Source organism: Homo sapiens, chromosome 9, assembly GCF_000001405.40.
Source record: "Homo sapiens chromosome 9, GRCh38.p14 Primary Assembly".
In the NCBI taxonomy this organism is placed as follows: domain Eukaryota; kingdom Metazoa; phylum Chordata; class Mammalia; order Primates; family Hominidae; genus Homo; species Homo sapiens.
Window position 1 is genome coordinate 129,281,919 of NC_000009.12, and position 12,274 is coordinate 129,294,192.

At 52.8% G+C, this 12,274-nt stretch overlaps 1 long non-coding RNA gene across 1 annotated transcript, besides 3 other annotated features; it reads left to right on the forward strand.

The window, feature by feature from the left end:
• Window positions 1–497: 497 nt before the first annotated feature.
• LINC02975 (long intergenic non-protein coding RNA 2975) lies at window positions 498–3,801 on the forward strand. The gene is made up of 3 exons (NR_121587.1): window positions 498–774; window positions 1,012–1,140; window positions 3,592–3,801. It is a non-coding gene; the product is annotated as a long intergenic non-protein coding RNA 2975 (long non-coding RNA).
• Window positions 2,788–3,761: an enhancer, noted in NCBI's record as "H3K4me1 hESC enhancer chr9:132046985-132047958 (GRCh37/hg19 assembly coordinates)". NCBI's record gives its function as "activates a minimal SCP1, AML or CMV promoter by ChIP-STARR-seq in primed H9 embryonic stem cells {active_cell/tissue: H9 hESC(primed)}" and the evidence as "EXISTENCE:reporter gene assay evidence [ECO:0000049][PMID:30033119]".
• Window positions 3,762–4,735: an enhancer, noted in NCBI's record as "H3K4me1 hESC enhancer chr9:132047959-132048932 (GRCh37/hg19 assembly coordinates)". NCBI's record gives its function as "activates a minimal SCP1, AML or CMV promoter by ChIP-STARR-seq in primed H9 embryonic stem cells {active_cell/tissue: H9 hESC(primed)}" and the evidence as "EXISTENCE:reporter gene assay evidence [ECO:0000049][PMID:30033119]".
• Window positions 5,677–6,659: an enhancer, noted in NCBI's record as "H3K4me1 hESC enhancer chr9:132049874-132050856 (GRCh37/hg19 assembly coordinates)". NCBI's record gives its function as "activates a minimal SCP1, AML or CMV promoter by ChIP-STARR-seq in naive H9 embryonic stem cells {active_cell/tissue: H9 hESC(naive)}" and the evidence as "EXISTENCE:reporter gene assay evidence [ECO:0000049][PMID:30033119]".

A 12,274-nucleotide genomic window follows, 5' to 3' on the forward strand; every position in this document is an offset into this window, starting at 1 on the left:
GGTCAGTGTTTCCCCAGTGTGGGGTGGGCACCCTCGGTGACCTAGGAGACAGTGACGTCAGGGATCACACAGCCTCATACCACACAAAGGTGATTCCCTTCTCTGTCTCAGCCCTCTGGTCCCCTGGAGGGGAAGCTTGCAACTCCCCAACGCTTTTCTATCAAAATGCCATCGGCAGGCAACAATAGCCAGCTAGAATTTCCTAACATTGCTTATTTTAATTGTAATTTATTTTTACTTTTACCTTCTATTTATGGCCCATGATCTTAGTTTTTTTTCCACCTAACAGTAGTCACATAAAGTTCCCTTATGGATGCATTTACCTAAGTAATAGCAGTGAATGCTTTTAAAGAAAAATAGAGAGCAAATAACAGAATAAGGTGCCACTGGAAGGGCCGGGTCAAGAGGAGGGGGTGGACGGACCTGTGGGTGGCACTGGCTTTTCGTAACTCAGGAATCAGGAAGTGTAGTTGACACTTGTTTTGTTATGTTTGCTCCAATGGAAAAGGAAGCTGTGGGTGGAGACACATCTGACGGGAGGGATTTGGATCCTGCCAGCTCGTCCCTGCAACCCCCTACTCCGGTCCCCTCAAACCTGTCCGTGGCTGGCAGCCCTGTGATACCTCGCCACATTCTGCAACAGAATCCGAGATAGAGGTAGAAGTGGGGGAGTACGTCGTGGCTGTCAGGGCAGCTTTCTGTAAAATGCTGCCTGGAGGAGCATGTGATTCCAGACCCTCCTCTCTGCAACGAAAGTGAGGTTGACACCTGCAGGTATGATTGTAACACGACTTTTAGTTCAGGTGAGCGCAGCCTTCCTCTCCTGGAGCTCTGGCTCATCCAGCCCTGAGCTCCCCAGTCCAAGGCTCTCCGGGTACCTTGGGCAGCCTCCCTAGCAGGGCGGTGGGATCGGACCAGCTGTTCCCGGCTGCTGGTCCGTTCCAAGCTGCAAGGGCCTAGGTGCGGAGCAATGACCGGCAGGCCGAGCTCCCTCCCTCCCTCTCGTTGCAGGCCTGGGGCCTCCTGGCCCACTGAGCAGAACACACAGAAGCTGGGCCCACCCCTGCCCTCCCCACAAAGGGTCACGGGAGCCACCGCCTGACTTTGAAGCCCACTGACTTGCGGCTGACAAGAGAAAAGGTATTTGGAATTAAGTGAAGGGCGGGAGGCAGGGGCGGGCTAGGCCCTGGGGTCACATAGCTGCAGGCACCTTGACTGCAGCTGCCGTTGGCCCCAGTCCCTTACTTTCTAGGGTTCTGCAGTGGGCCAGAGAAGGGACTATTATTATTATTTCATAACATTTCATCCTGGCTTATTTCTAGCCCCTCAAACGGTGTCCGTACAGGGTTGAACTGCCAAGGGCTCCCAGACCCCTGCTGCCAAGGGGCGGCTGGCTTGTGGTGGCTCTGGGGAGGCAGTGGTGCCCGTCACTGGCACTGGGGAATCTTGTCTGACTTCCCTTTTCCTCCATCTCCTCCCCAGGGCCCGGCTTTTCCTGTGCCCTTCATTTTCCTCCCCCTGTTCTGGGACTTGTGGGTGTCCCCAGAGCAAATTCTTGGGGAGCCATGCCCAGCCGGTCTAGGGGGCACTCAGGGGCTTGCATTTTGTCAGGCTCCCTCGTGGTCTGGTGTGGGTACTCTGGGGACCACATTTGGAGAACCTGGGCCCCCCAGTTGTTAACTAGCAGACGAGGGCCTGTACTTAGGGGCCATTGTCCAGCGTTTAGTGCAGAGTGACTGGAGAAATGGGAGGACCAGACCCTGTGATGGGAGTGAGGGTAGGGGGCACAAGATGGGCCGCCACCCTCCAGGATCTCCTGGTTCACACCAGTGCCTGCGAGAGGCCCCTGGGGCCTCGTGAAAGCACAGGTGGCTGGTTGCATCCCAGGGGTTCTGATTCCCAGGACTGGCCAGGCCAGAGAATCTGAATTTCTGACAAGTTCCTGGGCAAGGCCAATGCTGCTGGCCAGGAGGACCACCCTTTGAGAACCACAGGTGGACACCAGCAGCCGCAGACCCGGCTAGGACCAGGGCAGAGGCCACGCCCTCCCCATTCCCCCGGAGCTGCCTCGGCCCTTGGAGGAATGAGCAGGACCTAAACAGGAACCACGTGATGATATTGACGTGGCACCTGCATGGGAGCACTGCTGCCTGTCCACACTGAGTGCGGCTTCCAAGACCACCCGCAACACACACAGCCCTGCAAGGCGGGAGCTCACGTGCCCCTCACTTTACAGGCGAGAAAGCTGAGGCTCAGAGAGGGCAAGTGACCTGCATAAGGCCACACAGCCAGCAAGTCAGGGAACGGGTGGCCAAACCCAGACCTGCCCAGTTTCATGTTCGCGCCGTGAGGGGTCCAGCGGCTGTGGTGTCACTTCTGGTTACCCCGTCATTTAGAGGGGAAAGATGTGGAGAAATAGGAGTGTGTGTGGCAGGAAGGGACTGGGGGAGAGAAAAGGGCCCAGGAATCAGGCGTGCGTGTGGCGTTGAAAGGAGCAACAACTCAAAGTCACGCTCAAGGTCATGCTTAAGGTCATGCTCAAGGTCATGCTTAAGGTCACGAGTTCACCCCAGGAATCCCGCCCTCACTGGAGCTGAAGCAGACCCCTCCCCCAGGCTTCAGGGGTCTCCTGTGGCCAGGTGATCCCCTCCCCGTCAGCACCCCAGGGCACACAATGACACCTGATATTCCGCTAAACAGGACACTTCAGGGTGGAGGTGGGGCAGGGGGGTGGTGGGAGGCCGCAGTACTCAGCCTTTGCTCCCATGGGCCCAGCACCCCTGGGTGGACCTAGAGAGGCTCTGGGCACCCAGGTCTCAGGTCTGGCCTCAGAGCAGAGCTTTGGGCACCTCTTCCTCCACATCCACACCTGCTCCGTGCACACCTGCCCCGGGTCCTGGGTCTGGCAGCATCTTGGGCTGACTGTGGAGGGCCTTTGCTGGGCTTGGCAGGTGGGCATCAGGATGGGTAACTGCAGAGAAGAGGGAAGGGGGTGGTCTGAGGGCAGGGGGTGGCCTGAGGGTGGCCGGAGGAGTTCAGGAAGAGCACTGGAGCACGAGTCTCCTTTAGGGGACTCACCTTCTCTTTCTGTAAAGGGAAGGGACAGGGCTGGGTATCCTGAGGGGCACTGGTGGTCTTATGGGGTGGGGACATGGTGGGAAGGGGCCTGGCCCGCTCTGGTCTCCAGCCTGTGTCCCAAACCCACCTCCCCTTGGAAGAGGTCCCAGGAGTCGCCAGCACCTGGTTCTGGCTGGGCTGAGAGAGGCTGTGTCTGCTGCACCTGGAGTTGCAGGGCCAGCCACGGTCTGTGCACGTGGACCCCTTGAAGCGCAGAGGCTGACGCATGGCGAGTGCTCGTTAAACATCACCTGCATGTGATTATTAGTAATAAAATGTCTTAGAAGCTGGAGGGACTGAGAAGGGCCTTCTAAGCATGACAGACGTCTGTCTAGGTTGGGGTCCTTTTCATCAGGAGGGACCTGGGAGCCAGGTACCCTCTGCTCACAGGTAGTAATGCAAGAGGCCTTGTATTTTCTCTTCCTTTCCAGGCACTGAGGGCTCGCCACAACCCCCTGTGTATTTATCTTACAGAATGTGCCCCTGTGATCATGTGAAAGCATCAGCCAGGGGTCCAAGAACTTCCCTCTGGAGCCTCACACTCCCAGCGTGGCACCCAGCAGGGAACAGATTCTCTCCAAACCTTTGTGAATGAATGAAGGATGACGTCACTAGAATCCATCCCTGTTTTATTTTTTATTTTTATTTTTTGAGACAGAGTCTCGCTCTGTTGTTGCCCAGGCTGGAGTGCGGTGGCACAATCTCAGCTCACTACAACCTCCGCCTCCCCGGTTCAAGTGATTCTCCTGCCTCAACCTCCTGAGTAGCTGGGATTACAGGCACCCATCACCACGCCTGGCTAATTTTTGTGTGTGTTTAGTACAGACGGGGTTTCACCACGTTGGCCAGACTGGTCTTGAACTCCTGACCTCAGGTGATCCGCCTGCCTCGGCCTCCCAAAGTGTTGGGATTACAGGCGTGAGCCACCACGCCCATGCCCATCCCCATTTTATAGACAAGGATACCAAGGCTCAGAGAGGGGAAGCCACTTGCCAAGGACGCACAGGAGGACACCAGTGAGCAGGACCTCTGGTCTGTCTGGGAGGCCACTGGGCCTCTTCCCAGAGTCTCTGCTTGGTGAGCCAGGATTTTACACCCGCCTTGGGCCCAGTGGGCTGAGAGGACATGGGCTGGGGTGTCGGAAGCTGCAGAGCTGATCCCTCCTGCTTGGCTGGAGGCTTGCAGACCCGGCAGGCAGGCTCGGGAGGCAGCGGGCGACTTGAAAATGCACTCCCTACCACAGGCTCAAGAGTGACGGCGCCTGTCAGGGACCGGGAGGCAGGGCCTGTCTTTTCCTGCTGTTTTATTGCCTTCAAAGTCTGGACCAAGTGGTTTCTGGATGGAGTCACGGTAACCTCACGTCTATTCAAGCAATTCGTTCATTGTTTCATTTAGTAAAATACCCACAAAACAAGGAAGAACACCTTGGCGGTGCCTCTGATCCCCCCATTTGTCTGCAAATCGGAAAAGCATGATTCCATCGATCTCCTGTTTATTGAGCGCCTACTACATGCTAGGTCGGATGGTCTAGTTCAACCCCTCGCAACGCCACAGCTGCTGTCTGTTTCGTATCTTGTATTTTTCGCTTGACAGTTTATCATGTGCATTTTCTCGGGTACCAAAGGCCCTTGTAAGAGATGGTGTCTGGAGAATGGGTATCTCAGGGGCCTACCACCTGGCTTACCTCCTCCCAAATCAGGGTTCCTCTGCACCACCTCCTCTCTGTCCAGCTCCTCCTTCAGGGCCTGGCTCAATTCTACCTCCTCCACAAAGCCCTCCATTCCCTCCCCTCCTGGTCAGTGTTGTCTCTTTTGCAGCCACTAGCTCTCTGCCTTGCCTCACCCGGGTCTCCTATCCCTCTCCTTCTCTCTCATGGAGTGATGCCTTTTTTCTTCCTCTACACACATCAGGTCTGAGCTCAAAGTCACCTTGTCAAAGGCCCTCCCAGGACCACCCTGTGTGATTATCCTGTGGGCTTGTTCCTGTGTTTGTCCCTGAGCCCACAGGGTCTGGTGGTTCAGTAGAAGGACTCCTGCAGAAGGTGCTGGATAAACACTGGAAGATCTAGAAATAAAAATAAAAGAAAGACTGGGCGCGGTGGCTCAGGCCTGTAATCCCAACACTTTGGGAGGCCGAGGTGGGCGGATCCCCTGAGGTCAGGAGTTCGAGACTAACCTGGCCAACATGGCGAAACCCCATCTCTACTAAAAATACAAAAATTAGCCAGGCATGGTGGCATGTGCCTGTAATCCCAGCTACTCAGGAGGCTGAGGCAGGAGAATCGCTTGAACCCGGGAGGCAGAGGTTGTAGTGAGCTGAGATCGCGCCACCGCACTCTAGCCTGGGCGAAAGAGTGAGACTGTATCCCAAAAATAATAAAATAAAATAAAATAAAATAAAATAAAATAAAATAAAATAAAATAAAATAAAATAAAGCACACTCAGTTAAATATGAATGTCAGATAAGTACCAAATAACTTGTGAGTATAAATGTATCCCAAATATGGAATGGAATACACATAGTAAACATTTTTTTTTATTATCTCAAATTCAAATGACACTCAGCATCTTGAATTTAATCTGACAACTCCACCTCCTCCTACCCTCTTTGCCCCTTGTCAGGCAAGCTCAATAGCTAGGCCGAGAGCTGCTGAGGGCGGGGACCTTGTCTGTCTAGGCCACTGCTGTATGCGTGCCTGGCCCTCAGCAGGGAACCTGACATGAAGCACACGCTGGATAAATAAATACCTGTTGCTGGAGCGAGTGATGGGTTCCCAGCCCTCACTGGGGAATCGAGGGGACTCCACCTCAGCCCAGCCAGATGGAATCGTCGGGAACAGAGTGCACCTTAATTTCTGCGAAGACCAATGCAAATTAGAAGAAGACTGAGATGCAGGCTGTTTGATCCAAGAGATGCTTTTTAATTATTGTAAAACAGCTGTGACTTACTGAGCACCAACTGTGTACCCGGCCTCACACTGTTCTCATACACAACAGCTCCACGGGGAAGGCATTCTCACCGAGATTCAGAGAGGGGCAGACCTGGCCTCGGGTCGCACAGCTGGGAACCGGACACCGGGCTCTCTCCAGTCAGCTCGGGTGCTGCTGGCCCCAGCACCTCCCCCATGGCGTGGACCAGGGCCTCCGAGGCTGCTTTAAAGAAGGTTCTTTGAGAACGGCGCATGTACCGTGTGGACACTCGTGTGCGCCCCTGAAGTTTTTGAGCCAGCCACCCTGTCATCAATCTTGGTTATGCAGTTCATTTATTCAGTAGACCCCAGGTTCCCATCCACGTTTGGTGCACAGGAGAACTCCCCTGCTCAGGAATTCTGAATTAAGGAGGCTTTGAATGAACGAGGCTCTACTGAATTTAAATTCCAGATGGGGCAGGGAGGGGCTGGGTACTGGTGAGCGGCACAGACTGGGCAGGTAGATGCGGCAGGAGTTCGAATCCAGCCCCTACCGTTTCTCAGATCTGTGACTTTGGAAAAATCACTTTCTCTGGCCCTCAATTTTGCCATCTCTAAAGAGGGGGCTGAATGAATTCAGACACCCCAAGGCCCCACAAAGTGCTAACGACTGAGATACGCTGGGGTTGGAGGTGATTGGGAACAGGTTACGGTCCTGCTTTCCCTGGGGGAACCTGGCCCTGTGTCCGAGGTGCCCGTGGCATCTCTGCTGGTTGCCCTGGTTTCTGACTCACCCCAGGGAGCTGCCGGGCAGGGGAAACTACCCTCCTGGCCTCCTGAGACCTGCCTTCCAGGCTGCAGGCCTGCTGTCGGGGCTGCTCTGTGTGTGTGTGTGTGTGTGTGTGTGTGTGTGTGTGTGTGTGTGTGTGTGATGAGGCATGGGCTGCGCTCTGCACAGAGGTGGGGGTGAGGGTGGGCTCACATATTTTAAGTTCATCACCTGGCTGGGGAAGTGGCCACCCTTGCTCCAGAAAGGTGGCTCTATGTTCCCAAATTGTCATCACTGTCCCTCACATGTGCTGGAATAACATTCAAACTCCCCCAGGCTCCCAAGGCCCCATAAACTGGCTCCTGCCCGAGACGCTCGCTTCTGCCTTACCCCAGCCCTGTGGTCACCCGCAAATACTCCAAGCCCTTTCCCTCCTTACAGGCTTTGGCCTGGGCTGCGCTGGCCAACAGAACTCCCTCTCCCCTCCGCTGCATCCCTCTCTTGCTCTGCCTTCTCCAGGAGGCCTTTGTGAACGTTCTGTGGACATGGGCTCTCCATGAGTCTCTCAGCTCGTGTTTGCTTCCCCCTGAGCCAGGGTAGAGGCTCCTGCACGCTGAGTCCTTATCTGTGTTGCGCCGACCCCAGTGCCTAGGCAGGGCCTGGGCCCCAGGGCCCCTCTGGATCTGTTGAAAGAAGAGGTCAGAGGGCTGTGTCATCTAAACCCCGTTTGCATTGAGAGAGTCATTCTTACTGCCACATATCCATGCATTCATTTGTTCATTCAACAGAAAGCACCAGGCCCTGGGCGATTGAGGGTTGAAAGAGACACTGGCCCCTGCCCTTGTGAATCCCTTTCCAGCCAGGTGTGTCAGGGGCGCTGGGCGGGTGAGGCCGGCACTGAGCAGGTGAGACCCAAAAACAAACACCACCTGGCGATTTCTCTGTTTTCTCCCACACAGTCCCCCTTTTTGGATGTTAAGAGATTAATATATGCAAATACCCTTTTCCTATGGTGGTTTTAGCCTTGCACTCTGTGGATTAAGTTACTTGATTTAAATACATCTTCCCCCCACCAACATATACATGTATAAATCCTAAACACTAAATAAAATCCCCTCATTTCCCGTGTGCTGCGGAGCTTCTAATCCCAAGTCCTGTGGGCATTTCAGCAGTTAAGATGGTTCATGGGGGTTGTGGAGATTTTATTTGGAATATCAAATACCTGTCCCTTAATGGAGTTCGCTAATACCAGCCAGAGGGGGCCAAGGGAGAAGCTGGAGCTGGAGAGGTGGTGGGAGGAGCTTCTGGAAGGAAAGAGGCCTGTTACCAAGTGAGGAAGGGTTTGGACCGGATGAGGGTGGTTGCATAGCCAGACTGGAGGGGACACCTGGGTTTGGACGCATCAGAGGGCTGGGCAGGACTGGGGGTTCATCAGAAACAATCAAGGAGACTGGGTGTGGTGGCTCACACCTGTAATCCCAGCCCTTTGGGAGGCTGGAGCAGGAGGATCACTTCAGCCCTGGAGTTTGAGACCAGCCTGGGCTGCACAGTGAAAGCCTGTTTCTAGGAAAAGTAAAAATGCAAAAATGAGCTGGGCATGGTGGTGTGCACCTGTCGTCCCAGCTACTCGGGAGGCTGAGGTACGAGGATTGCCTGAGCCTGGTAGGTAGAGGCTGCAGTGAGCTGTGATTGCACCACTCCACTCCGGCCTGGGAGACAGCACGAGACTCTGTCTAAAAAAAAAGAAAGAAAGAAAGAGGAGGAAGCAAGGAAGGAAGGAGAAAGGGAGGAAAGAAAAGAAGAGAAAGAAAAAAAGAAAGAAAGAAGGAAGAAAGAAAGAGAGAGAAAGAAAGAAAACTATCAAGGAGTGTGTTTGGGGACAAATGTGAATCCCGCCAAACTTGGACCTCAGCCTCCTGGCCAAGCGGGAGGGCTCCGGAACCCGAGGATCACCTGGCAGGTCACCTGCACTTCTGCAGTCGAGGGACAGAGCCTAGGGCTGGCCTTTGAGCACCTGAGTAGCAGGTGCATGGTTGAGATTCGCTCACCCTCCCCTGAAACTGGATGGCCCAGGAACGCCCCCATGCTGTGACTGGCACCCTCTGGAATCCCCTTTCTTGCCCCAGGAAGAGTGCCCCTCCTTGGAATGTTGGCACAGAGGCCACCTTTTGCATAAGTGTACCCGGAGCAAGCCCAGCTCCGCGCCGCACTCCCGCCCCTTACTGGCCCCCCGCCTTTTTCCGTGGGCACCAGGCTCCCGCCAGCAAACGTGATGATTTACTTTCTGTGTTCTGTTCTGCTTCCTGTCTTGTCCCCCACCTACTCCCACCCAGACCCGTCACCTGAGTGTCAGCTCCTTGAGGCCAGGGTCTGGTTCTGCTCTGTTCACTGATGCGTCCCCAGGGCCTGGTCTAGGCGCGGCATGCAGTGGACGCTCAGGAAATAATTTTGTTGACTGCGTGAACTCCACACATATGGCCGGAATCCCTCCCCACCCCTAGCCAGGCTCTGGCCGGGAGCTGGCACACACAGGGAATTACAGTCTGTGGACCCAGTAAACCACCAAAGACCCAAGACAATCTGGCAAGTCCTTACTGCATACTTGTCAGACCGAGTCCTGGATTCCAGGGCCTGTGGAAAGGTGTGAGGAAGACCCAGCCTGGTGGGAGGGGGGCCCCCAGCACCTACTCTCTGCCCCTCCTGCCTCACCCCTGCTTCACCGAAGTCCTGCCCCGGGAGGTGGCACAGGAACAGAGGTGTGAGTGAAGTCAGGGAGCTGGTCTTGAGAAGATCTGGGACACAGCTTCCGTTGGTATCCTATTGAATCAAAATGCCGGCCCCCTGGGCTTGCAGTTTGCTTGTGTGTCTCTTTCCATCCGTTCACTCTCAGTCTATCTGTGTTTCTGTATGTAAGTGAGGTGGCTCATGCCTGTAATCCCAGCACTTTGGGAGGCTGAGGATCACTTGAGGTCAGGAGTTCGAGACCACACTGGTTAACATGGTGAAACCCCATCTCTGCTAAAAATACAAAAATTAGCCGGGTGTGGTGGTGCACGCCTGTAATCCCAGCTACTCAGGAGGCTGAGGAGGGAGGATTGCTTGAACCCAGGAGGTGGAGGTTGCGGAGAGTTGGGAATGCCCCACTGCCTGGGTGACACAGTGAGACCCTGTCTTAAATAAATAAATAAATAAAGTGCAAGTCCGCATTTGGTATCTCTGTATCTCCTTTCCTACCCTCTTTGCATTATTATTATTATTATTTAACGATTGCTTAAATGATTGTAAGACATACCCCTAAGCTTCCACAGTTAACTTAGAGTTAACATGGGACCACTTTGCATCAAATGTGGGAGCCTGCAACAGCACAGACCCATCGGCTGCTCCCATGTGTCCCTCACACCACCGTTGTCGTGTATATAATTCCTGCTTTAGATAATCCTATCTATGTTACAGAAATTAAGAGAAAAAAATGACCTTTTCTTTTTACCCAGGTATTTGTCATTTCCAATGCTCTTCCTGAAGATTTTTTTTTTTTTTTTTTTTTTTTTTTTTTTTTGAGACAGAGTCTTGCTCTGTCCCTCAGGCTGGAGTCCAGTGGTGTGATCTCGGCTCACTGCAACCTCTGCCTCTCAGGTTCAAGCGATTCTCCTGCCTCAGCCTCCCGAGTAGCTGGGATTACAGGTGTCCGCCACCACTCCCTGGTAATTTTTTGTATTTTTACTAGAGACAGGGTTTCATTATGTGGGCCAGGCTGGTCTCGAACTCCTGACCTCAGGTGATCCGCCCGCCTCAGCCTCCCAAAGAGCTGGGATTACAGGCTTGAGCCACTGCACTTGGCCTACTTTACATGTATTCTTAAAGGATATTTTTGCTGGATATATAATTATTGGATTGAAGTATTTTTTCTTCCTCTTTATTTATAATATTTATTTTAATTTTTTAAAGAGATGGCATCTCACTATGTTGCCCAGGCTGGTCTCAAACTCCCGACCTTAAGTGATCCTCCTGCCTCAGCCTCCCAAAGTGCTGGGATTAAAGGTATGAACCACCATGTCCAGCCTCTTCTTCTTTTAAAGAAAATTCTTGGCCGGGCGTGGTGGTGCATGCCTGTAATCCTGGCTACTTGGGAGGCTGAAACAGGAGAATCGCTTGAACCTGGGAGGCGGAGGTTGCAGTGAGTCAAGCCTGCGACACTGCACTCCAGCCTGGGCAACGGAGTGAGACTCTGTGTCAAAGAAAAAAAATCTTATTTTGAAATAATTATAGATTTAGAGAAAGTTCCAAAAACAATACAGGGAGCTCTGGGCACCCTCAGCTAGTCTCCCCCCAGTGGTACAGCTTACATAATAGTATAATATCAAAACCAGGAAATTGACATTGGTACGACGTGTGTATAATGCCATGCTATTTTCTCACCCGTATAGAATTGTGTAGCTACTGTGGCAATCAAGATGCAGAGCTACCCCATTGCCACAAGACCTCCCCAATTGCCCCTCTGTAGTCACACCTGCCCCCTGCCCCCCACCCGACCTGTGGCCTAGCATGCACTCATCTGTTCCGTATGATTTGGTCTTTTCCATGAAGTTATGTAAATGAAAACACACAATGTGTGATATTTTCAGAATGGCTTTTTTCTTTTTTTTTCTTGAGACAGAGTCTCGCTCTGTCTCCCAGGCTGGAGTGCAGCAGCATGATCACAGCTCACTGCAGCCTCCAACTTTCTGGCTCAAGCAATCCTCCTGCCACAGCCTCCTGAGTAGCTGGGACTACAGGCTTGCACCACCATGCCCAGCTAATATTTTTTCTTTCTTTCTTTTCTTAAATCCAAATACTTCTGAATACTTTTAATTTTTTTTAGAGATGTTGTCTCACTATGTTGCCCAGGCTGGTCTCAAATTTCTTGGCTCAAGCCATCCCCCTGCCTCAGCCTCCCAAAGTGTTGGGATTACAGGCATGAGCTACCACACCTAGCTAGAATAGCTTTTTTACTCAGGGTAATGCCATTGAGATCCATCCAAGTTGCTGTGTGTGCTCCTGTTTTTTTTTTACCTTGAGATGGAGTCTCGCTTTGTTGCCCAGGCTGGAGTGCAGTGGTGTGATCTTGGCTCACTGCAACCTCCACCTCCCAGGTTCAATTGATTCTCTTGCCTCAGTCTTCCAAGTAGCTGGGTCTACAGGTGCGTGCCACCATGCCCGGCTAATTTTTTTTTTGTATATTTAGTAGAGATGGGGTTTCACCATGTTAGCCAGGATGGTCTCGATCTCCTGACCTCGTGATCTGCCTGCCTAGGCCTCCCAAGTGTGTTCCTTTTTATTGCTGAGTAACATTCTGCAGTTTGTTTAACCGTTTACCTACTGAAGGGCATTTTGGTTGTCTTCCAGTTTTTTGGTTCTAACACATGTGGATGTAACTTTTCCTTTCTTTGGGGTAAATGCCCAGGAGCATGATTGCTGGGTTATATGATAAGTGTATTTTTTT